The following is a 25921-nucleotide window of genomic DNA, read 5'->3' on the forward strand; positions in this document are numbered from 1 at the left end:
ACATGAAAAAAATATCGCTTTAAAATAGAACACAATGATAAAAGGACCTAAAATATACTAAGCACATGGTGTATAGTAGGCTTAAAGTTCTTATAACAGTGCCTGGCATACTATGAGAGCTCAACTAAATCTTTAGCTGCTATTAATCCATTTAATGCTTACAACAATCTATTAGGTAGGTACCATTATTATAGTAATTTACATTTATGCACTAATTAGGAAACAGCAAGGCCATGTTAGTTACACTAGATCATAAGTTTAAAAGAGTCACAATTTTCGTAAAGGTAGTTTAGTTCCCAGAAACAGTCTTCTGATACAAAACCGTATATTACCTCTGTCTGTGGAAAGGGTGGGAAGGAAACTTCACTACTTGGAACTAAATACCATTTTACAAGAATTCCTCTACCCCACTAAGTAAAAATGCATATATAAATAAAACACAAGTTTTCACAGACTCACTGTTAAACCTAGAGTATACTCAAATAAATATATATATATATATATATATATAACAGGCTATGTCTATCATTTCCACTGTTGTCAGATAAAAATAATGAGTTTCAAAGATGGGTAGTGACTTATTGAGAATGTGTTACAACTAAATCAGTCCCATACTTGCAACAAACTATGCTGTCCAATCACATAAGTTAACCCTTCTATTTGGATCTATCGCTATTTAGGAAACTGACTCTGCAGGTAAACTGAATATCTTTCCTAATTTGACATGAGAGACTGCCCTGTCTTCATTACATACCCTACACAGTTTTAAAATTTTCACCTCTAAGAGACATATACCCAAGTTATGATCTATTCACATTATATTTACTGTGGACCAGGAAAAAATGAAATAATAACACATATCTCTACTGGCTTCTTGAAATATGTATATCAAAACACGAAACTTTAACATAAAGCCACTTCGTTTAGAATATAGTGGTATGATGCGTTTTAGTACTTACAAATATAATGGCAAAAAATAATGTACAAATAATCTTCCGAACTGCATGGAAGTAAAAATGAGATCTCGTTGCTGATTCCATTTTGAAAGTGTGTTCTGCAATTTCATAAATCAGTTCTTTTTAGTAGTTTTCTATTTAATTCTAATTAGGTCTTTTTAAGTAGTTTTATATTTCATTTAGACTGATGAGTAACCACAAAGTCAAAGATCTATAAGAATGAATGAAACCTACATATATTATAATCTTTCCAAATATAATTTTCATAGCTCAAGAACAGAGTGAAAATAGGTGCCATAACCAAATGAATCAGACTCTCCAAAATAACATATGGAGTTTTAAACACGAAATCTTGTATAATGTTGTTAAATTTTTGAAAAGTAAAATTATTTGGAATTCATGGACCAAAAACGTATATTTCTTGGCAAAAAGACACTTGTCTAGATGTATTAGGGTGTCATTGTTCTCTTCCCACACCCCACTCCCAGTTTGTAAAAGGAAAATCAAGACACAGAAACTGAATTAGCCCTTGCAAGATTAATAGACACACCACTTTAAAGATAACTTATACAAACCTTTTAAAGAACTTTATAAACAATTAGAGATAGACAATGGAGGAAACGTGGTGAAACAGCACACCATTTTGCAAGACTTCAGCATAAAAGAATCACACTTATTTGATATTAGTTTGGTGGGGTTTTTTTCATTCAATTTTTAATGGCCTTTCTCAATATCTCAGTTCATTCAAAGGTTCTGATTTTCTTTCTTTTCCTCCGTGTAGTCTTTCCCAGGGCACCCGGTTGAAGCCCAAGGCTAACTGGGACCCTCCTACTTCAGCACCAAGGACAGAAATCGCTAAATCTCCAGGGGAAACGTACCCCTAACCACCGCCAGATGTCTACTTTTCAGACAAAGCAAGAAAAAGAAAATATACCTGCCTTGCCAGCCATCTGTTTAAAAGTCCCCTCTCCTGTGGAACGCACGAGCAACTTTTCGGAGACACTGAACAACTCCAAGTCGCGCGCCGCCCTCGCAAATCGCAGAGAGGGCCGCGAGAAGGTGCGAACGCAGGTCACGGCCAGCGCCGCTTGGAGAGAGACCCGCAGGTTTCAGCCCAGGCGCGCCCGGCGAAAGCCAACGCGCTCTCCCTACAAAGCGTCGATGACTTCAGGGATTTAAAAGAAAAAATACCCACAGACAGAACCAGCGGAGGGGCCCTGACCTCGCCCCAGTCGGGAAACGCCTTCCCTCCGCCACAGGCAGCGCTGAATGAAGCAGAGGAGGGCGGCGGAGAGGGCCCCGGAAGAAGGGAAGGGGGCATTCTGCAGTGTTTGGGGGCTGGGGAAAGAACATTTTCTCACCACTTGGGCTGTCGCTGGACCTCAGGCTCCTTCCACAGAGACACTGCAGCATATGCACTCCTTTCTTCAGAGAAAGCTCAAGAATCTTCATGGAGAAGCGCGTGTGTGGGGTTGGTCAACTCCCCGCCCACCTGCGCTAGTAGTCCAACCAACAGGCGGCCTGTCTTCGGAAGCCGGGTCCCGAGTCCATCGCGCGCGCCCAGGTGGAGGGGAGTTTGCACATGGAGCCGGAGGGAGCCCGGGCGCCGGCAGGGGGCGGGCCGGGACGCGGAAGTGCCGGTCCGCCGGGGGCAGCCCTCCGAGAGCCCGAGGCGCTGCCACCCCTCGGTGGGCTCGAGCACGGCCCCTTGAGACCTTCCGGAGGCGGTGGCTGGTCTGAGGACGACGCGGAGGACGTCACTGCGGGTCGGTGCTTCCTTACAGGTGCCTTCTGGACCGGGGTCCTTGGCACCTCCCCTGCTCCTGCCCTCGGTGCCGGACCCTGTGCCCTGGGAGCCCGACTACCTCGGTGTCCCAGCCGTCCCGGGCTTGAGGCGCTGAGAGGGCTGCGCGGCTTCCAGCCCGGAAGGCAGCGGTCCCGCGGGCTGCGCGCGGCCAAGGGCGACTCCGGTGTGGGAATCCGGCGGAAGGGAAGCACCCGCAGGGAGGGCTGGACCCCGGAGGCTGCAGAGCGTCAGAAGCGACTCTAGGGAACTAGGGGGTGGGGTAGGGAGGCGGGGACGTGGAATAAAGAAAGCTCCTGGGTGCCGGCTATGAGAAGTCAGGTGTGCGTAGGCGTGGACAGAGTGCCGATGTGGGAGTCTGGACACCTGGATTTTCTGGTCGGGGCTCTGTGTCCTTGGGTAAGTCACTTACCACCCTGGGCGTCTCCCCGTCAATCTGGGTGGGGAAGAGGGTGTGAGATAGAGGATTGGCAGCGGCGTGCTTGTTTGTCCCCGTGCCTTTCAGGCTCCTAGAAAAGCTTAGCATAGGTGCAGTGGGAAGTGGAGCTAGAAGGGACAGAGGGAGAGGAGGCAGGTGAGGCGAGAAATCTGAAGACAAAAGAGCGCTTCGCTTTGGCGCCAGTATTCTGGCAGGCTTTGCCTCTGCCAGCCCGCCCCGATGACCAAACAGCTTCTCCATGAGTTTAAAGATCTCGATTTTTTTTTCCCAGCAGCCCCCTTGACTCTTTTTTTTTTTCTTTTCCTGATGCCAACAATGCCCTTTTGGAAGTGCAATGAGTAAGCATGGGAAGAATGCTGTCGAAGTGACAGGACGTAACCCTATGTGGAATCTCAGGGCAAGAGGGGACTTTAGGGGACACTTAGCAATACAAGTGATTAAGAGCACAGACACTAGAGACAAGCAGCGTTAAGTTCAAATTCCTACTAGGTGTGTGACCTTGAACAAATTACTTAACCGCTCTGTCCCTCAATTTTCTCATCTTTAAAAGAAAGTTAAAGATAGCATCTGTCTCACACACCCCCTGAGAGTTAAGAAAACACTTGTTTTAAAGTAAGTGCTAAAATAGTGTTTGCAATTATTATTATTTAGACCCCACCTGTAGGGTTGTGAATCATTTTCACTTTCCGATGAATGCCAGTGTTCATACCAGTGAATTTCTGCTTGAATAATCCAGGTGACAGTGAACTCAGCAGCTCCCTAGGTAATTCATTGCACGAAAACTGTTAGGTTTTCCCTGAGGTTGAGCCAACAACTGACCTCACCTTTGTTCCATCCATTGTCTCAAGGCTGCCTAGCACTAACTGGTTAGCTCTTCCCTGCAAGGGAGTAAAAATGGTTTGCATCACACCTGTTCTCTTTCTCTTATATAGGCTAAACATTCGCGGTTCCACTGGCTCCCTAACACTTGAAATGATGTTTGAAGTTGCCTGGAAGAAGTCTCTTCCTTTTTTCTCTCAGAGGTGATGGAAGAAAAACCAGAACATCTGGAGGGCCGCTTGAGTTTACAGCCACCACCTGGGTTCACACCCTCTTAGCTCCTTTCAAAGCTGAAGCTCCAGGAAAGGTCATTTGGGGTGATTCCAAGATTCAAGAAGATATGCCCAGGCCTTTCTTTCTAGTCGCCTCTTAGTCCTGTTGTTCAGTGGTATCACAAGCTCTTTAAGCTCCAAGGTCCTTGAAGATCTTCCTAAAACCACTGCAGTGACATCACCGAAGAAGTTATGCAGCCCCAGGGCAACCTGAGCCATGGTCTTCATCTTTCCTGTCTCTTTGAGAATTAGTGAGAAAATTGGCTCATCTGGGATTCTACCCATAGAAATTCCCCACAGAGGGAGAGACAATTAGCAAAAGGAAAACATCTAAAAATAGTCCTTTGTGCTGCAGCGGAACACGGTTTTCCGGTAGGGCTCTCCTATTCTGGAACCCAATACCTAGAGCTATTTCCTTACTTTGAGGGAAGTGCTACTCCTGGAAAAATAGCAAATGAACAGGACAATGCTGTGGTTCCCTCGACGGCACTTGAGCAGAGTGAACAGGTCCGTGTGTGATTTTAAAACACATATGACCTCCTGAGCATCAGTTTTTATATTTATCACAACCCTCTCTGCCTCCTGGCAAGGTTGTGGCAAGAGTTCAATTAGGTAAAACATGTGAAAGTGCTTTGAAGATTTTAATTATCTTTGCAACATAAGGTGTTATTACCAACTTCCCTGGGTTCTGGGTGTTAGACTATTGACGTCTAATACAGTGGCTCTGTTATTTGATTATAGGAAGCATTTATGTGTGAGTCTTCTTACTCCACAACAGGATTGTAAACTTTTAGGATGCAAAGCAGGAAAGACAACTCAGTACAATTAATATTCAAATAGTGTACTGTATTGTTTAAATGGCTATCACAGTGATTCTTATGACCAGAGAGGAAATGGATCATCACAGTACTTATAAAAACAAACTGAAGTATTACATTTATAGATTGTTTTGTTGGTATTGAGCTTTCAGGTGAGTTCAGAGGGCACGTAACATTTTAATGCAAAATATTTTCTTACTGTATAGTATGGACATTTGATAATAGTAAGCTCGTACTTTGTAAGTATATATCAACATAAGTTTCTACTTTGTAAGTAAGTATGAAAGGGACTTGATCAGTAGAATTGTATTACTTAGACAGTTTTTTATTTTTTAAAAAAGGCTCTTACACTTATCAGGATTTCAATGTTCATGCTTTTTAAAGCAACTCCTCATGTGATTGTCACCCACTTCCACAATTAGGCACACAGAGTACAGTCTTTCTGAAGTATCTTGAGCAATATATCAGAATTCATTTTTACATGTATCATAACATCCCAAAAAAGACAAAACAAAACAAAAAAAATAGCCAGGAGCACATGAAGGGTAAGAAAGTGATGTATTTTAGTTTGAACAAGAACATTCATCTTTTCTCCTTTCTGTGTATTATCCCATAAGCCAAACTCAAAATTTTACTGGCAATAATATTTTTAATTTTATATTCAGATATATTATTGTTTTAATACCCAAATTTTAAATTATGTTATCTGTCTGTAGTTGGGATTTTTTAAAGTTAGCCATTCTTTCTGTTTTCTAATTGACTTAGACATCTTGGACAAATTATAGCAAGTGACTCACCAGTGTGGCTTCAAAATAAAATAAGTTAGCACTTTTTGAGAAGGATTAGGAATTCTGGTATATAATGATGGATGAATGTGTTTGAATTCCTAGTACCTAAATTTTTTCTTTTTAAAAATAATTACTAAGAGTTTGTAGAAATTAATAATTGTGTAAGGGAGTTTTGAGATATTTAAATTGTGACTTATCTAAGATATTTTTCTATTAAGACTAAACATAGGCATCTGTTCACTCTTGGCATCAGCTGTGCAATTAATCAGTATATTTATCTGTTTGGAAGAGAATGTTGAATTGGTAATAACATATAAAGAATCATGCCAGGTTGCAAAACTTTTATTGAATATATCAATGGCAAAATGTCTGTTGAATTGATATTAAATTTATTTTCACAAAGAAACCAACATATAAACTAAAAGATGAAAATCAGTACGATATCTAACATGGCATTTTTGTTCCATGTTATGCATATAGCCCATTGACTCTGAAAGGGCACAAAACCATGCCTGTAGCTCTCATCTTAGCAATACCTTCAAATACAATCTTGATACTGTTTTTAAAAAAGCAAACATGTTATTTTAAAATTTCTCTTCTTCCTTTTGTTCTTTTTTATTTCTTTTTCCTTCCCCTCCCTGACTCCTGTTCCTCTTCTTCCTCCTTCTCCTTCTCTTCATCTTCTTCATCTTCGTTATCTCCTTCTATTATTTTCCAAACTTTTTTATCATAAGTTTCCACTTATGCAAATGTTATAAAATAAGACTGAGAGTTCATACATACCATTTACCCAATTTCCCTAATGTTAATGACTTTCATGACCAGTGTACAAATATCAAACCCAGAGCATTTACACTAGTACCTTGTGATTAACTAAACTACAAACTTTATTCAGCTCTCACCAGCTATGCAGCTCTCACCAGCTCTTCCCCACCCTCATGTCCTTTTTCTGTACCAGATCCAACTACGACCCATATTGCATTTGATTGTCATGTCACTTGAATCTCCTTCAATCTGTGATGGTCCCTCAGTCTCCCTGTCTTTCAGTACCTTGGCATTTCTAATAGGTATTGGTCAAATATTTTGCGGAATGTCTTTCAATTTGGATTTGTCCAATGTCTTCTAATGATTAGTCTAAGGTTATTCATTTGGCAAGAATGCCATAGAAGTGATGTTGTATCCTTCTTAGTATATCATTATGGCAGGGGGGAGGGTACATGATGTCAGTTAGTGGTATTAACCTTGATTGCCTGGTTAAAGTTATGTCTACTAGATTTCCATATTGTAAAGTTACATTTTTTTCATTTATAATTGATAAATATATTGAGGAAAAAACTTTGATGCTGTGCTAATGTCCTATTTTTCCTCAAACTTTTATCCACTGATTTTAGCATCCATTGACAGATCTTGCTTGCAACAATTATTAATGTGCAGTTTGCCCGGCAGTGACTTTTGTATTTCCTTTATTCTGTCTAAAGTAATAGGAATTCTGTAAGAGCTGTTCCTTCTCCTACATTTATTTATGTATTCAGTTATTTATTTATATCAGTATGGCCTCAAGGATATTTATTCTAAGGATTATAATCCAATACTATCATTATTTATTTTGTGGCTAAAATTGTTCTGGCTTTAGCCATTGGGAGATCCTTCTGATTTGCTATTGTGTCCTTTTGACATACCCCAATTGTTTTTTAGCAGTTCCTTAATTGTTTGGCATCACATAATGTTCCAAGTTTATTTTGTCCCCTCTACCCTAGCCCTGGATTCAAATGATTGCCAAATGAGTCTGGGTTCTTTCTTTGGAGAACAATAGCAACCAACATCTGAGCGCTAAGTGTCCTCATTCTTACTGGGGTGTTATTGCTCTCAGGTCCTCTCAGCAGAGAGAGCTAGGAAATCTATATACACATACACGTACATCATATTTATTTCTACATTTCTATCGGTATATCTTTTTAGATAGATTCTGATATATCATGTAGAGCTAGAGATAGAGATAGATATCGTTAATACTTCAATCCTAAGTCAATACCACCAGGTTCATTTTATTTTTTGCCTTTTCCTTATTTGTAACTTCTTTCTGACAGTGAAAGGCCTGACTTCCGTTATTTATAATATATTCACTTATTTATTAAATCCTACTATACACTTAAGGTAGTTAGAGAATTGCTAACTGATACTCCTGTGAGAAACACTTATTACAAGAGTACAGTATTTATGTACACTTATTTTTGTCTTGAACTTTACAGTATCCAATCAAAATACTATTTTCTTTTGAAAGTGACTTAGGTTGCTTCTTTACTTGCCCATCCTCTTCAGTGTGGTTTGGTTATTCATTTGTAAACTTATATTCCATACACATTGATTTTAATTATTTAACTAGATTTAGTTTACTTAAATTATTTTTTTTATTTGGGTGCGTGAAACGTTACTATGGTACTTAGAGTCAAAGCTTTACCAAAAAGTATAGCTTGATAATCGTTATTCCCTCATTATCCCTCCTGGCCAGTTCCTGTTCCCTCTTTTTTTCCACTTATTTCCCATGCACTGCCTATAGGTAACTGGTTTCTTTAGTTTATCTTGCCTGTGTTTCTTTTGTACAAATGCACACACACTCTTCTATGTAGTGGTCTTTTGATTGTTTCCAGTATTGTACTATTATAAACAATGCTGCAATAAGTAACCTTGTGTGTAGCATTTTCATATTGTAGAAAACACTGCTAACCAATACTCCTGTGAGAAATACACTCTGTGTGCCTCCAGGGTAGCCTCCTAGAAAAAGAAATGCTGGGTCGAAAAGTATGTGTATAGATATTTATGCTAAGTATTGCTGAATTTTACTCCAGAAGGCTTGTATGAATTTAGATTCCTGCCAGCAATATATGATTGCCTATTTGCCCACAGCCTTACCAACATAATGTATTGTCCTACTTTTTCATTTATGTCAGTGTGATTGTAATGTTTTAATTTGCATATCTCTAATTATGATTGAGTTTGAACATTTTGTCATTTGTTTGAGAACTTTTTTCTTATCTTCAAATAGATACCTCCAGGATTTGGGGCTGCAGTTGGACGTTTTCCATCTCTTCTAATAGCACTGTAACAAGTTGTCTTGAATAAACACGAGCTCGTTAGCCATAAGAAAACTTTAAAGATGAGTTATCTAATTCAAATGGAAGGAAAATGTTTTTAAATCATCATAGTAAAATATGAGCTGTTTATTTTGCAAAATATGAGGTCAATCAGTTCAGGATAATAAATACTTATGAATGTCAAGGAAAAAAAGCAATTGCTCATTAGTCAAAACTCATTACCAAAGGAGGGGCACAATACAAAATGGGTGTTTCCACCCTTTTCTCCTATCACCTGAACACGTCTCTGACCCTATAAATTATACACATTTCTTGAGACCTACCATAGAAGCCACAGCGATCTCTCTGGTAAACTTTCCCTCCTATCTCCCCGCCTCCCCCAAAGCAGTCACAGCTTCCTCGTAGTTCCCACAGCACACTGCAATTCCTCTATTATAGGATTTATTTTATTCAGCTTGCACATGTATATTTTCCCCCCAAGAGACTATGAGCCTTTTCGCCTCCAAATTTTGGTGTTCATGTTCATATCTTTTATGTTTGTATATCTTGGTACCTAGAATATGTAAGAAATAATTTATTTAAATATTGATGAAATGAAAACAATGGGGACTTTTACTTTGGGAGGCCGAGGCGGGCGGATCACGAGGTCAGGAGATTGAGACCATCCTGGCTAACACAGTGAAACCCCATCTCTACTAAAAATAGTAAATATTAGCCGAGCGCGGTGGCGGGCGCCTGTAGTCCCAGCTACTCGGGAGGCTGAGGCAGGAGAATGGCGTGAACCCGGGAGGCGGAGCTTGCAATGAGCCGAGATCGCGCCACTGCACTCCAGCCTGGGCGACAGAGCGAGACTCCGTCTCAAAAAAAAAAAAAACAAAAAAAAACGGGGGGGACTTTTTTGTGATTTTCCAATTGGGAAAAATATTTGTAATTCTGTATTACATTTAAAAACAATAGCTCAGAAAGAATTTAGAGTGAGGATATGAATTAGATAGAAGATATAACTTACTTTTAAACATTTGAAAAGTCATCAGATTCACACATGAAATAATATATATAATCCAAAATCAAATATTAATACCGTATAAGATTTCAAGGATAAAAATGTTTGATAACTTGGTGTACTAGAGAGAATATAAAGGAAATGGGAACCCTCATACATTCTTGGTAAAAGTAAGCATTAATGCCTTTATGGATAGCTATTTGTCTCTAACCTTCAAACTTTAAAAAGCCAATTCCCCCTTTGGCAAATTCTTATTTAGTTATTTTAGATATAGTTGCATAAGCATACAACAGTGACAACTGCACAAAGTAGTCGGTACAACATTGTTGATAACACTATTTGATAGTAGTGATACTAATCTATCAATAAGGAACTAACTTACATTTTGGTATATTCCCACAAAGTAATGTGCTACAATTTTTTTAATATGAATAGATCTGTGAAATTTATTACTGAATTTAACAACCATATAAAAGAATAAATATAGTTTGCCACAATTTGTGTAATCTAGAAAATAAGAATGTGCATACGTTCACGTTTATAAACTCATGGACTCTTTCTGAAAAGGTACACAAGAAATTGGCATCAGTTGTCGTCTGAGGGAGAAAGATTAGGTAGCAGAACACAACAGAGAGGGAGACCTACTTTTGACTGCATTCCATTTTATACTTTAAAAATGTACCATATGCATATTCTTCAAAATAAATAACATATTACAACAAAAATCAGTTATATAAATTTGGCTTTGATTTTTAAAACATATTTATTACTAAGCTTAATTAAAATACAAAAATCCAGAATGTGAAGGAGACACACAGGGACTAGAAATGTTATTTCTAAGTTGCAACAGGATATAGTCTTGATGCCTTGAGAATCAGAAGACCTAAGTGAACATCATAACTTCTCAGAGCCTAACAGTAGAATGTTGGTACCAAAAGGAGTTCAAGTATTGATGATCATTATCCTCTAGGATGAAGGGATGCATGAGGAAATGATAAGAAATTTCCAAAGTGCCATAAATCTGAGGTGCTACTCTTATTTTACTTTTAAACTATATATTCATTTTTAAATGGGAAGTCTTACATTTAGGTGACATTGGGAAAAATAGTTACTTCCATGTGATTGTTATAAACCATGTTTGATTCCCACATGCCCTTCTGGAATTTCAACAATCTTGAGTATTAAAGACACCAAAACAGTAATAAAGAGCCCTACCCAAGTCTGATAATAAAGATTCACCCAACCTCTTTTAGCTTTCGTATTATCCAAGCTCTCCAAATAAAACTTTCATCAAATTTTATAAGATACTATTAAGTCCACCTGTTAAATGAATTAAACAATATTCATTTCTATTCACTGCACATTTAGCGAGTGCATATTTTGTTTAAATATAACCCTGCCCTCAGTGGACTCACTATCTCATAGGGATGGAAATAATAGATAGCTATACAAACAATGTTGAGATGGATAGAGAAATGTGAAGCCTGTGGTAATGATAGCACAGATGAGAAGAGTGATTCTGATTGCCGAGGAGGGATGCAAACCATGTAAAACCACATAGCAGTATCATGATATTTGTAAAGAAGAGGTTCTTCCAAAATGCAGATAGAAAAAGGATATGTATATGTGGAATGACTTCATTTGGGGTTTTAGGGAATAAAATTTTAACATAAGTCAACTCATGGTAGACATTTATTTTCTAACTCCATCCTTTAACAGAAAAAAAAAATACAAAAAAGGGACAGTGACTTCTAAAGTCACCTGGCCCCCAGCAGCAGGGCTGCAACTAAGTGGCTCAGAACCCCTGCCCCCTTCCTAGTGCAACATTCTCCAAAAGACACTATGATGCTGCCCCTGGTTTTGATAGCATCAGAATCAAACTTACTTGATAATAGGCATAGAAATTATTTCAGGGCATTTTTCCTTTCCCTGGAAATTGAATTTTCTCTGTAAATTGTCTGCTTTTTAGAAGCAGAAGGCAGCCATTCATTTAAAGATCTGACCAATAAAAATAAGCATTGCCTTTACAGTAAACTCTGAGCTTTCTATTAGTGTTAACTTTCAGAAAAGGGCATAGGAAAGAGTCTAAGCTTATGACTTTGGCTAACTTTCCTGATGGCAAGCTTTTAACTGTCCTAATACAAATGGTTGTGGGAAAGGAGGAGAAAAAGGGTTAACTGGAGATGTTCATTAGGATCCATATCAAAGGCTTGTTGGACATGAAGTAATTTGGAGAATGAATATTTCAGCCCCTTTAAGGTGATTGTTATGCTCACAAATATATTCACAAGTGTACGTATGTATATATCTTTCTGCCTGTGCAGAACACAGGTTAAGGCCAAAGTTGCCACTCTCACATACCAGGCAAAAGGCACATGTGGAATTTTGAAATCTCCTTTGTGCATTATTTTTCTATCCTCTCTTTTTTCCCTTCCACAAACATACAAACATCTTAAAGAAGAGGCTATATGTACTACCTTCACTTCAGCATTTCTTTTCTTTCTTAAACCCGAGTGCTGCCTCCTGCTTGCACAATCTCACCAAAGTTCTTTTTATAAAATCACCATAATCAAGGCTATTCCAGATAAAATGGACACATTTTGTCCTAATGCTACAAAGATGCAGTAATTATATGTGTTGAAATTATTGATCACTCTATTTCAAGAAACTCTTCCTCATCTTCAGAAACATCATTTTTCTCTCGGTTTTCCTTCTACTTCTCTATTAACATCATAGTTCTCTTTCTGCCATCCTCTAAGTGTTACTATTTACCAAGCTTCAATCTCTTCTCCATTTTTACTGTTACTAGGCATCTTCTTACACATTAAAATTCCTACGCTATTGATAACTCCTGGATCTGTGTCTGCTGACAAGATACCTACATAGATTTAATCATCCATTTCCAAGTTTCCCTGGAAACCTCTGCTAAAGGATCCACAGGTATTTCAAAAAAATAATAATAATAACTACAACTGGACACGTATCTTTCTCTGTAAACTTCTTGAGCTCCATATTTTAATGAGCAACTACATCTAACTATCCAGTTTCCAAATTCAAAGCCTTGTGAGCCATCCTAGACTGTTCTTGCTAACTTATCTCCAATCAGAGAGTATTACAGATACTATTTGTTTAACATCTCTAACATCCATCACTTTATTCTTGCCTTCCTTCAGGCCCTGATCACATCTTGCCTAATTACTACAACATATTTACAAAAATATTCCAACTGCCTTCAATTTAGCCTCCATACTGCCAAAATAATCACCCCAAAACTTAAGTCCCTAAAGAATGTGGCTCTTCAGAAACTTTTCATTGTATTGAAGATTAAGTCGACAGTGTAAGTTTGGTACATAAAACCTACGATGATTTGCTTGTCTTCTTTTATCTCCGTACATGAACTTAACTCCATCCATGTCCTTGAGTCTCACCGTTTTTTTCTTTTCTATTTTTTTTGAGTCGGAGTCTCACTCTGTCGCCAGGCTGGAGTGCAGTGGCACCGTCTTGGCTCACTGCAACCTCCGCCTTCCAGGTTCAAGTGATGCTCCTGCCTCAGCCTCCTGAGTAGCTGGGACTACAGGTGTGCGCCACCACGCCCAGCGAATTTTTGCGTTTTTAGTAGAGATGGGTTTCACCATGTTGGCCAGGATGGTCTTGATTTCCTGACTTCGTGATATGCCTGCTTTGGCCTCCCAAAGTGCTGGGATTACAGCCATGAGCCACCGCGCCTGGCCTGAGTCACACTTCCATGTTCATGTCTACATGTTTTTGCACATGATAGTTCACTTGCTTAGACTATCCTGCTTTCTTTCTTCTTCCAGTGAGTTCACACCAACCCTTCAAAAATTGGATTCATTATCACCTCTGTCAATAAACCTTCCCTGGCTGGATTAGGTGCCCTTCTTTGGAGCTTACCTGCGCATATTTCTTAGCACAGAACTTTCACACAATAGTCTCTGATTTCCAAAAAGCCAAAGTACTTCTTGAAAATTTAGCCAAATAGTCATGCAAACTAATATATTATTACAACTGTAACGGCTGCAAAAGTGGAGAAGTACATGATTTTATGGTGTCTAAAGAGGTGGTAGAAGTGTTGATTTAGCCAGAGGAATCAGGAAATGCTGAGGCACTTATCACATCATAGTTTGTGTCACAATTAGTTGGGCACATGCTTTATATACAGTTCCTCACCTCAAGCTTATAAACACACACACGCATACACACACACACACATGCACACAGACACAAACACAGTCACTTTTGTTCCCTTTCATGGTAAGTCTTAAAAGTCATTCATCATGAAATATTACTATTTCTGCCTTTCGCAATATACAGATGCTACTCAAAACATAGGAAATGGTCAATAAATATCTGCTGAATTGAATTGAAAACTTTACCCGAGTTGCAGAATAGTTATATGATTCTGTTTCTTTAGAGTTAACCATATGGTTCGACTGAAGATAAAGCCTTAATCAAATTTATTATAACCTTACATTTCAGTTACAACAAAAGCAGTATGCGTCATGCCTTCTGTCTTTCCTAAAAATCAATGACACACCTACCACATGGTTTCAAGTATGATAAAAATAAAGGAAGTCTTGAAAAAATCCAAAAGAAATGCAAGCCAGGAGAAAAGGAGCCTTTGGAACCCTTAAATTGATGCTGACTTGAATGTGTCCTCAAAATTTCATGTGTTAGAAACTCAATCCCCAAACATATATTGATAAAATTTGGAGGTGGGGCCTTTGGGAGGTAATTAGGATTAGATAACATCATCAGAGTGGGGCCCTCACAATGGGACTGGTGGCTTTATAAGAAGAGGAAGAGAGACCTGAGCTAGCACACACTTGCCTTCTGCTATGATATGACACAGCAAAAAGGCCCTCACCAGATGCTAGCAGCCTTCCCTGCCTCCAGGACTGCAAAAATTAAATGTATTTTTCTTTATAAATTACAGTCTGTGATATTCTGTTATAACAACAGAAAATAAACTAAGATGATGACTAGTTTAGGATAAAGATCCTGGAAGACCAACAGACAAAGACCTGGGAGAAGAGGTTCATAGTATTAGTCTGAAAGGTTGTATACTTCCAGATTTTGCCATTGTTTCCATTTCTAGTTTTATAGGTTAATTAACAAATAATGAAAAATGGAAGGATCAGAAAGATCTGTTTTCTATGGTCTTATGCAAGTGCACATTGTAAGCATTCAATATGTAGATATGAAAATCACTGCAATAATGCTTCTAGGAGCCAGCACTAGATAACCATCTTCAGCATCCTGGGCTTATGTAAATAATCCATTTAGACTGAACTGTTATTTTCATTTTTATTTTTTTATTTGTACATATTTATGGGTGTATTAGTCCATTTTCATGCTGCTGATAAAGATATACCAGAGACTGAGCAATTTAAAAAAGAAAGAGGTTTAATGACTTATAGTTCCACGTGGCTGGGGAGGCCTTACAATCATGGTGGAAGGTGAAAGGCATGTCTCACATGGCGGCAGACAAGAGAAGACAGCTTATGCAGGGAAACTCCCCCTTATATAATCATCAGATCTGGTGAGACTTATTCACTATCAGGAGAATAGCGCAGGAGAAAGACCCACCCCCATTATTCAACTACCTCCCACTGGGTCCCTCCCACAACATGTGGGAATTCAAGATGAGATTTGGGTGGGGACACAGCCAAACCATATCATTCCACACCTGGCCCCTCCCAAATCTCATATCCTCACATATCAAAGCCAATCAAGCCTTCCCAATAGTCCTCCAAAGTCATAACTCATTTCAGCATTAACTCAAAAGTCCACAGTCCAAAGTCTCATCTGAGACAAGTCCCTTTTGCCTATGAGCCTGTAAAATAAAACCAAGTTTGTTACTTCCAAGATACAATGAGGGTTCAAGCATTGGAAGAAATTGGCCAAAACAAAGGGGTGCAGGCCCCATGTAAGTCCGAAATCCAGTGGGGTAGTCAAATCTCAAAGCTCCAAAATGATCTCCTTTGACTCCATGTCTCAGGTCCAGGTCACACTGATGCAAGAGGTGGGTCCCCATGCTCTTGGGCAGCTCGGCAACTGTGGCTTTGCAGGGTAGAGCCTCTCTCTCAGTTGCTTTCATGGGCTGGTGTTGTGTGTCTGCAGCTTTTCTAGGTACACGGTACAACCTGTCAGTGGATCTACCATTCTAGGGTCTGGAGGATGGTGGCCCTCTCAGCTCTACTAGACAGTGCCCCAGTAGGGACCCTGTGTGGGGGCTCCAACCCCACATTTCCCTTCCACACTGCCCTAGCAGAGGTTCTCTATGAGAGCCCTGCCCCTGCAGCAAAAGTCTGCCTGAACATCTAGGCGTTTCCTTACATCCTCTGAAATCTAGGTGGAGGTTCCCAAACCCCAAATCTTGACTTCTGTGCACTGGCAGGCTGAACTCCACATTGGAACTACCAAGGCTTGAGTCTTGCACCCTCTGAAGTCATGGCCAGAGCTGTACATTGGCCCCTTTCAGACACAGCTGGAGCAGCTGGGACACAGGGCACCAAGTTCCTAGGCTGCACATAGCATGGGGACCCTGGGCCCCACTCACAAAACCACGTTTTCCTCCTAGTCCTCTAGGCCTGAGATGGGAAGGGGTGCCATGAAGACCTCTGACATTCCCTGGAGACATTTTTTCATTGTCTTGGGGAACAGTATTCAGCTACTCATTACTTATGCAAATGTATGCAGTCAGCTGGAATTTCTCCTCAGAAAATGGGATTTTCTTTTCTATCGCATTGTCAGGCTGCAAATTTTCCCAACTTTTACGCTCTCTTTCACTTATAAAACTGAATGCCTTTGATGGCACCCAAGTCACATCTTGAATGCTTTGCTGCTTAGAAATTTCTTCTGCTAGATACCCTAAATCATCTCTCTAAAGTTCAAAGTTCCACAAATCTCTAGGGCAGAGGCAAAATGCCACCAGTCTCTTTGCTAACACATAACAAGAGACCTTTGCTCCAGTTTCTCACAATTTCCTCATCTCCATCTGAGACCACCTCAGCCTGGATTTCATTGTCCATATCATTATCAGCATTTTGGTCAAAGCCATTTGACAAGTCTCTAGGGAGTTCCAAACTGTCCCACATTTTCCTGTCTTCTTCTGAGCCCTCCAAACTGTTCCAATCTCTGCCTGTTACCCAGTTCCAAAGTTGCTTCCACATTTTAGGGTATCTTTTCAGCAGCACCCCACTCTACTGGTATCAATTTACTGTATTAGTCCATTTTTATGCTGCTGATAAAGACATACTGGAGACTGGGCAATTTACAAAAGAAAGAGGTTTAATGGACTTATGGTTCCACCTGGCTCGGGGGGCATCACAATCAAGGCAGAAGGTGAAAGGCACATCTCACATGGTGGCAGACAAGGGAAGAGAGCTTGTGCAGGGAAACTCCCCCTTATATCATCAGATCTTGTGAGATTTATTCACTATCTCAAGAACAGCACAGGAAAGACCCACCCTCATGATTCAACTACTTCCCATGGGGTCCCTCCCACAACATATGGGAATTCAAGATGAGATTTGGGTGGGGTCACAGCCAAACCATATCAGTGAGGTGCATGAGAAATGTTGTTACACATATCTAATGGGTAGCAATTAAGGGAAGGTATCTAAAATGTCCATCACCTGAGGATAATACAGTTTTGTCAAGCATGGTCATCCTATTCTGCTACCAACCATTACATTTATTCCTCTTATTGGATTGTATGTTTGTACCCTTAACCCACTTCTGTTCATCCTTCTCTCTCCATCCTGTTTTTTTTTTTAATTTGACATCTACATTCTCTTTTGATCCACTTTCTCTCACTTGGTGGAGCTTAGTGTTTAGAGGTTGAGCTTTGAAATCAAACTGGACCTAGGATTACCTCTCAACCCTTACATTTACTGGATGAGACGACTGCTCCTTCTTTCAGTGGTTTTCATGTGTACAATAGAGTGAGTATTCATACTTCCTTAGAATTGTTGTCAGAATAAATTGAGATAGAATATCTTAATATGGTGCCTGCCAGATCGTAGGTCCTTAAAAATTGTGGTAATGATATGGTGGAGAAGCTTATTGACATTTATGACTTTTGGGAAACTCTACCAGTAATAATCCTTTTCATCCTTTCATCCTTGAAGATTTATTCAACAACAGCAATATTGCTCATTTGTTATTTGAGATTATTTTAATAATTTCTCTTCTGTATCTATAAAATATTTAAGAATTGTCTTTGTTTGAAGGAGAAATCTAAGAAAATTGGACTTTTAGTAGAAAGCTTTTGAAGGATTTTGCTTCATCAAAATTCTATAAGAAGTGAATACTAATGGGCATGGAGTTTTTTTCTGAGGTGATGAAAGTGTTCAGGAATTAGAGTGGTGATGGGTGCATAGACTTATACATATACTAAGAACCACTGAACTGTACACATTAAAAGGGTAAATTTTATGGTATCTGAATTGCATTTTAATTTTTTTTTTTAGATAGAGTCTTGTTCTGTCACCCAGGCTGGCATGCAATGGAGCAATCTCAGCTCACTGCAACCTTCACCTACCGGGTTTGAGCAATTCTCCTGCCTCAGCCTCCCACGTAGCTGGGATTACAGGCATATGCCACCATGCCCAGCTAATTTTTGTATTTTTAGTAGAGATAGCTTTTCACCATGTTGGCCAGGCTGGTCTCGAACTGACCTCAGGTGATGCACCCACCTCGGCCTCTCAAAGTGCTGGGATTACAGGCATGAGACACCACACCCAGCCCTGCAGTTTAATGTTTTAAAACTATAAGAAAAATATTGGACAGCAAGATAGTTTACAGCTACACACGTTATTAGAGTGGTGATTTTTTTTCTTTCCTGTTTTCATTTCAGTTGTCCACTCCACATTGTAGAGATTATGATCAGTTTGGTTGTCAAAGTCTTAGATGACATCACAAGAAACACTTGAGAGCTACACATTGCTGAGTTCAAGTCCCAGCTGTGTGTTAATGGACACATTTCTTAACTTTAATTTCATTTTCCCCATTTGCAAAACAAAGCTAATAGTCTGCCTTGAGGTTTGTTGTGGCAAAAAGAAAAAAGAAAGAAAGAAAAGGAAATGCTTAACATAGAGATTAGCACTTAGTGGACTCCCCATTTACAGAAGATCTTCTTCAAAAGGACTAGTACATTCCGAAAAAAGAGGTTTGGGTATTTTTTTTTCTTTTTCTCCGGTCAGAACCTATTATGAAACACCCACTGGTCGTCCCTATTTTTAAAACGTATAATTATTTTAAAGCAAATGAAAATACTTTTCTTAAAGGTGAAATTTAAAACTTAAAGTTATTAACAACATTTTGGGTTGTTATATTTTGAAAGGAAGTTATGTGAAGATAAAATTTGGGAAATCAACCCCCTCCTTTAATTTTCTACCACACGCTTGATGCTGTCACTGACACCTTGAGTTGAGGAATATAAGTAGCTTTTGCTTAGGAGGTGTTAATCTGATGGCAGCTTATTTGGATAGTGCTTTCTTGTTTGTTAGTTGTTTTTAGTCCATGGTCTTCCTAGACACTCAGCATTAGACCTACATTCTGGATTAGCATATACTAAAATCCAGTTTCATTCTTCTACATGTAGCTTGCTAGTTTTCCCAGCAACATTTATTTAATAGGGTGTCCTTTCCCCAATTTATGTATTTGTATGCTTTGTTGAAGATCAATTAGCTATAAGTGTTTGGCTTTATTTCTGGGTTTTCTATTCTGTTCCATTGGTCTACATGCCTATTTTTTATACTAGTACCATGCTGTTTTGGTAACTATAGTCTTGTAGTATAATTTGAAGTTGGGCAAGGTGATGCCTCCAGATTTGTTGTTTTTGCTTAGTATTGCTTTGGCTGTGTGGGCTCTTTTTTGGTTCCATATGAATTTTAGGATTTTTTTTTCTAGCTCTGTGAAGAATGCTGATGACCTTTCGATGGGGATTGAACTGAATCTGTAGATTGCTTTGAGCAGTATAGTCATTTTCACTATATTGATTCTTCCCATTTATGAGCATGGGTTGTCTTTCCATTTCTTTGTGTCATCTATGATTTCTTTCAGCATTGTTTTGTAGTTCTCCTTGTAGAGATCTTTCACCTACTTAAGTATATTACTAAGTATTTTTTTTATTTTTTGTAGCTGTTTTAAAAGCAATTGAGTTCTTGATTTGATTCTCAACTTTGTCGTTGTTGGTGTATAGCAGTGCTACTGATTTGTGAACATTGATTTTGTACCAAACTTTTGATGCTTGTTCTTAAAGGCAGAGTTTAAAGACTCACTATGAGTGACACACATACACTGTACACACAACAATGACAATAACATTTTTAATTTCTCAATTTTCTTAACCAAATCAGAAACAAATTTTCTGGAATTTGCCTTCAGGTATTTTTAGCAAGAAACATGAACAAATATGAAATAAATCACTATTTCTTATGGTTTTTTGCTTGTTTATTTTTTTCTTCTATGAGACAATTCTTGTATTTTTAATGCATAGTCATTTGGGGACATCAAACTCTGACCATATTTATGTGGCATGACACTTAGCAAGCTGCAGACATGATCTAGAATTGTTTTCTCTAACCTTATTTCTCCTACACACCATCACAAGAAAACAAATGATGGATGTAAATATCTATTTTCAAAAGGCATTTCATCTGACACCATCTTACTCAGAGTTTTTGTAATTGCATGGAGAAAAAATTTAAAATAGCGTGTGCTCAGGGATTCAACCAATTTTGATAAAAACTGGTTGAATACTTCACTTCTTCTTCAAAAGTGTATAATGGTTCCTTACAATCTATAGTCAAATTACCAAAATCTGTAACTTGGTATGTTCAAGAACTGGCACAATCTTCACCTAGCTTTCTGGACATAGTTTCTATAATATCACTTCCCCCATAATTACTTCAAGTCTACAATCCTTTACCAGAAACAGCTGGGGCCGAGTGAGTTTTGTAATTCAGGTTTTTGGGGAACAAGGTGGTATTTTTTTAAAGTAATACAGTTAATGTATAAAATATTAGCAAAATCCATGTATGTTGGGGCCTGCACCTATAATGAAATACATTGATATTTCTGCAGTAAAATCTATAAATATTCTCATAAGTAGGACAAATAAAGACTATAAATAGCCTCCTGTCAATTCAGGTCAGTCTGTAGCTTAAGGAAAAACAACAACACACACAGTGGTCTTCAGAGCTTCTTGAATTTAGAAATTAAAGACAGTAAAATGTAAGCCTGCACTTGCTTTACTTGGACATAGACTTTTGAACTTTTGAGCCTCTGTTCATTTTCTTTCCTTAGCCAAAACTGTCCTCTATGTCTCTTCTAGTTTATTAAAGTTTATCGTGGGCCAGTCCAAACATCAGAAGCGACCCCATTTTTCTCTGTTGTCTGCATGCATATCTCTCTCCATAGGCTAGAAAGTCCATAGGGAATAGTTCTGTGTCTAATTTGCATTGCATACTGTGATTCCTGGCAGTGTATTTTTCCTCAAAAGAATATAAAAATTGGATGAAGCAAGCCTGCTTGAAAACATAAATGTCGACAAAACAAACCCAAAGCATTCAGTGTCCTATCTCTATTCCTCTTTATAAATGTGAATTTTTATAAGATGACAGGGTTTTTTTTTTTTTCATATCAGATGGGTAATGTGCCGATGTCTTGACAAGGTTCAAGGGTGGCACATCTCACACATACACGTGAACACCCAATCATCATGCTTACGAACTACAAAAGGATCAGGTTTGGTTGTTTAAAAAAAGTAATTTTACTCAGAATCTATTTTTTATGGTCAAATATTTTCTAGTGATTCTAAGAAAAAAGTATAAGCAGTATAGCTGCTAGCTTTCCATTACAGTTCAACACACTGAGTAAACTTCAAAGAAGCTGGTTTTAGGTTACTGTAGTGCTCAGGAAATGTGAGTTTTTAAAAAATTAACTTATATTTTAAACTTCTGATTTTTTCTAATCATTTAATCATATTTCTATCACTTCCAGAAACAAAACCAGATGTAAGCTCTTTATTTTTATTTTTATTTTTTAGATGGAGTCTCACTCTGTTGCCCAGGATGGAGTACAGTGGTATGATCTTGCCTCACTGCAACCTCCGCCTCCTGGGTTCAAGAGATTCTCGTGTCTCAGCCTCCCAAGTAGATGGGACTATAGGTGCATGCCACCACACCTAATTTTTGTATTTTTAGAAAAGATGGGGTTTTGTGATGTTGGCCGGACTGGTACCGAACTCCTGACCTCAAGAGATCTCCCTGCCTTGGCCTCCCAAAGTGCTGGGATTACAGGCATGAACCACCATGCTCTTTAGTCTATTAAAAATGTATCTGTTTATTTGATGTTCTTTGCAGTGCTCTTTGTAGACAATTAAGAGTGGCTGATAATTCATATATGACTGAATAATACTAATTTTGAATAAAATCATTTTAAAATTACCGATTTTAGAACTATTTAATAATAATAAGATAACTATTTTTCTAATATTGGAGATTTGGAGACATTCCTCCAAATAGAAATACCACCTTACTATTGTAAGTTTCAGTGGATACTTTGATTTTAAGTCTAACTTTTACCTTACACAATTTATGATCTTATATTCTATTTTTAAGATTTAGTAGACTATCATATGAAGTGGTATTCCTGACTCCTTTTGTAATAAAATCATTATTAGGATATGTTATAAAATGAAACAAATAAGAAATGAAAAAAATTCTTCCTGAAATAGTATATAAGGTGTGTTTTGGCTATGGCAGGGGATTTGAAGAACAATGCTGAATAATATCTAGATCACAAAATCAACTATAATAAGCTAAAAATAGGTTTTTCATATTTGGTACTAGCCTCCATATGAAGTAGCTATCCTAATATACAGTACTGTATAACATCTTTTTAGCCATCCATCCACCTAGTCTTTCATCCATATATCCATAGGGAAAAAATTCTACTTAAAATTAAAACTCCCTTCTTAGGAAGACAGTTCAATTAAGGGAGAATAGGTCTTCTTTCTTCAGCAAAGCATCTTGGTAGATCAAAACATGCACAGAGGAGTCAGAGAGAAATTTGGGAGTAAGACTGGAGGAAATGGAATTAATCTGCAGAACAATGTGAGAAGAATTTGGAGCTCCTGTGAGCCATCTGGAAGGGACTAAGGAAAACCAAAAACCATGGTAGGAGGCTGCAGTCTGAGGTATAGAAATGGCCAAGAGACTTTTTCAGAGAACAAGGATAGCTGTACAATCTCTAAAATGAAATAATTTGACAGAAGCAGAATTCAGAGCCAGAGGAGACCTTGAAAATATAAACTCACACTGAAAATTTGCATACAACTTGCTGGTGGTTGGGGTGGGCACTACTGAACTCTAAAATTCATAGAATGGAGCTCAAACCAATCTTAGCTAGGTCTTAATTGGTACAATGAATTTAGCTGTATCTGAGATACATAAACATACATATGCACGTTTTCATATGAAGCAAGTGTTCTAGAGCTCATTCATTCAATAACCCCAAATATCTGCCACATAGATACAAACCTGAAAGAAGATGCAAAGAAGGGACAAAAGAAAGACATCTAACCACCCACAAATGCTGTCATAAAATTGTAGCACTAAATTTTACATAGCTTGTAGGGTAACATTATGTCCTAATACAATATGTACTTACATTTTTAAAAATTCTATTTACTTTTTTACATATTACTCTACACGGCTATTTCACCACGCTCAACGGTCTAGAACTACAACCCACACACCAAATCCAGCAAACTGCCTGTTTTTGAAAATAAAGTTCCATTGGAACACAGCCAAAGCCATTTGTTTCTGTGTTGTCTATGACTGTTTCAGGCTACAACCTGAGTCGAGTGATTGTGACAAAGGCTATATGGTCCATAAAGCCTAAAATATTTACTATCTGGCTCTTAGCAGAAAAGGACTGCTAACCTCTTATCAAGAAGCAAAAGTTGAAATAGACAGATTTTAAAACATATGGTGAGAAATAACTATTTTATAGCAAAAAAGTAAGCAAACAACAAACCAACAAATATCATGCCCTCCAAAGTCACAATACATGGTGCCATCATGTGTGAAGACAAATAACACCAGAAAGCCTATCAAGTTGTCAACAAGTCTCCGAAAGTGTATTTTACAGGGCAATACAACTATTAAAATTAATAATAATGATCCTGAGACATTAACAAAAATTGTAAAATATGTTGAGAATTTTCTAAGACATTTAAAAATATATATATAAAATAAGATTTTTGCTTTTGATATTTTGATTTTTTTAACTTTTAGTTTTTGTGGGTACATACTGGGTGTATTTATGGGGTACATAAGATATTTTGATACAGGCATATAATGCATAATAATCACATCAGGGTAAATGGGGTATTCATCACCTCAGGCATTTATCCTTTCTTTTTGTTACAAGTAATCCAATTATAGTTTTAGTTAATTTTAAATATATAGTAAATTATTGTTAACTTTAGTCTCCCCATTCTGCTATCGAATACTAGATCTTATTCATTCTTTCCAACTACATTTTTGTACTCATTAACTATCCTCATTCCCCGCCACTACACTTCCTAGCCTCTGGTAACCATCATTCTACTGTCTATCCCCCTGAGTTCAATTGTTTTAATTTTTAGCTCTCACAAATCAGTGAGAACATGTGAAGTTTATCTTTCTGTGCCTGGCTTATTTTACTTAACAGAATGACCTCCAGTCCTATTCATGCTGTTATAAATGACAGGATCTCATTCTTTTTTTATGGGTGAATAGTACACCATTGTGTATATGTACTACATTCTCTTCATCCATTTGTCTGTTGGTGGACATTTCAGTTGCCTCAAAATCTTGGCTATTGGGAATAGTGTTACTATAACATGAGGGTGTAGAAATCTCTTTGATACACTGATTTCTTTTCTTTTGGGTATATACCTAGTAATGGGATTGTGGGATCATATGGTAGCCCTATTTTTAGTTTTTTGAAGAACCTCCAAACGATTTTCCATAGTGGTTGTACTAATTTACATTCCCACCAAGAGTGTACAAGGATTCCCTTTTCTCCACATGCTGGCCAGTGTTTGTGATTTCCTGTCTTTTGGATAAAAATCATTTTAACTGGGGTGAGGTGACATATTGTTAGTTTTTGTTAGCATTTCTCTGATAATCAGTGATGCTGAGCATATTGTTATATACCACTTCGCATGTCTTCTTTTGAGAAATGTCTATTCAGATATTCATGTATTTTTTATTCAGATTAATGGATTTTTTCCCTATTGAGTTGTTTGAGCTTCTCATATATTCTGGTTATTGATTCCTTGTCAGATGGATAGTTTGCAAATATTTTCCCCCATTCTGTGGGTTGTCTCTTCACTTTGTTGATTGTATCCTTCACTTTGCAGAAGGTTTTTAACTTGATGTGATCCCATTTGTCCACTTTTGGTCTGGTTGCCTGTGTTTGTGGGGTATTACTCAAGAAATTTTTGCCAAGAATAGTGTTGTGGAGTGTTTTCCCAAAGTTTTCTTTTATTAGTTTCATAGTGTAAGGTCTTAGATTTAAGCCTTTAACCTTTTTTTTTTTTTGAGATGGAGTTTCACTCTTGCTCCCCAGGCTGGAGTGCAATGGTGCGATCTCGGCTCACTGCAACCTCCTACTCCCAGGTTCAAGTGATTCTCCTGCCTCAGCCTCCTGAGCACCTGAGATTACAGATGTGTGCCACTGTGCCCGGCTAATTTTTTGTATTTTTAGTAAAGATGGGGTTTCACCATTTTGGCCAGACTGGTCTCAAACTCCTGACCTCAGGTGATCCGCCCGCCTCGGCCTCCCAAAGCGCTGGGATTACAGGCATGAGCCACCGCACCAGGCCTTTAATCCGTTTTTTTTCTTTTG

The 25921-nt window shown here is 38.3% G+C and overlaps 1 protein-coding gene, 2 long non-coding RNA genes and 1 other non-coding gene across 7 annotated transcripts in view, besides 2 other annotated features; 2 read left to right on the forward strand and 2 right to left on the reverse strand.

Moving 5' to 3' along the window:
- The window catches only part of FGF12 (fibroblast growth factor 12), a 588152-nt gene that overhangs the window by 372960 nt on the left and 189271 nt on the right, over positions 1 to 25921 (reverse strand). Inside the window, exon 1 of one of the 4 annotated variants that reach the window (XM_005247227.3) lies at positions 2318 to 2930. The exons of the other annotated variants lie outside the window; for them this stretch is intronic. Within the exon in view, the coding sequence (XP_005247284.1) occupies positions 2318 to 2408 (91 nt within the window). The 5' untranslated portion in view covers positions 2409 to 2930. Of the gene's footprint in view, positions 1 to 2317; positions 2931 to 25921 lie in introns of those variants that run through there. 4 annotated transcript variants of the gene reach the window in all.
- Positions 1651 to 1945: a silencer, noted in NCBI's record as "tiled region #196; HepG2 Repressive non-DNase unmatched - State 10:DNaseD, and K562 Repressive non-DNase unmatched - State 10:DNaseD". NCBI's record gives its function as "represses a minimal TATA promoter and a strong SV40 promoter by Sharpr-MPRA in HepG2 and K562 cells {active_cell/tissue: HepG2 | K562}" and the evidence as "EXISTENCE:reporter gene assay evidence [ECO:0000049][PMID:27701403]".
- Positions 2673 to 4224, forward strand: FGF12-AS2 (FGF12 antisense RNA 2). Its single transcript, NR_046598.1, has 2 exons — positions 2673 to 3159; positions 4132 to 4224. It is a non-coding gene; the product is annotated as an FGF12 antisense RNA 2 (long non-coding RNA).
- Positions 3036 to 4235: an enhancer, noted in NCBI's record as "CDK7 strongly-dependent group 2 enhancer chr3:192233174-192234373 (GRCh37/hg19 assembly coordinates)". NCBI's record gives its function as "activates an origin of replication core promoter dependent on BRD2, BRD4, P300/CBP, MED14 and CDK7 cofactors, with strong dependence on CDK7, by STARR-seq in HCT116 cells {active_cell/tissue: HCT116}" and the evidence as "EXISTENCE:reporter gene assay evidence [ECO:0000049][PMID:35650434]".
- FGF12-AS3 (FGF12 antisense RNA 3) lies at positions 4482 to 9049 on the forward strand. The gene is made up of 2 exons (NR_185499.1): positions 4482 to 4662; positions 8940 to 9049. It is a non-coding gene; the product is annotated as an FGF12 antisense RNA 3 (long non-coding RNA).
- On the reverse strand, positions 21660 to 21763 carry LOC124906347 (small nucleolar RNA U13). The gene has a single exon (XR_007096313.1). It is a non-coding gene; the product is annotated as a small nucleolar RNA U13 (small nucleolar RNA).

The sequence above is a fragment of the Homo sapiens genome, chromosome 3 (genome assembly GCF_000001405.40).
Source record: "Homo sapiens chromosome 3, GRCh38.p14 Primary Assembly".
NCBI classification, from domain to species: Eukaryota; Metazoa; Chordata; class Mammalia; order Primates; family Hominidae; genus Homo; species Homo sapiens.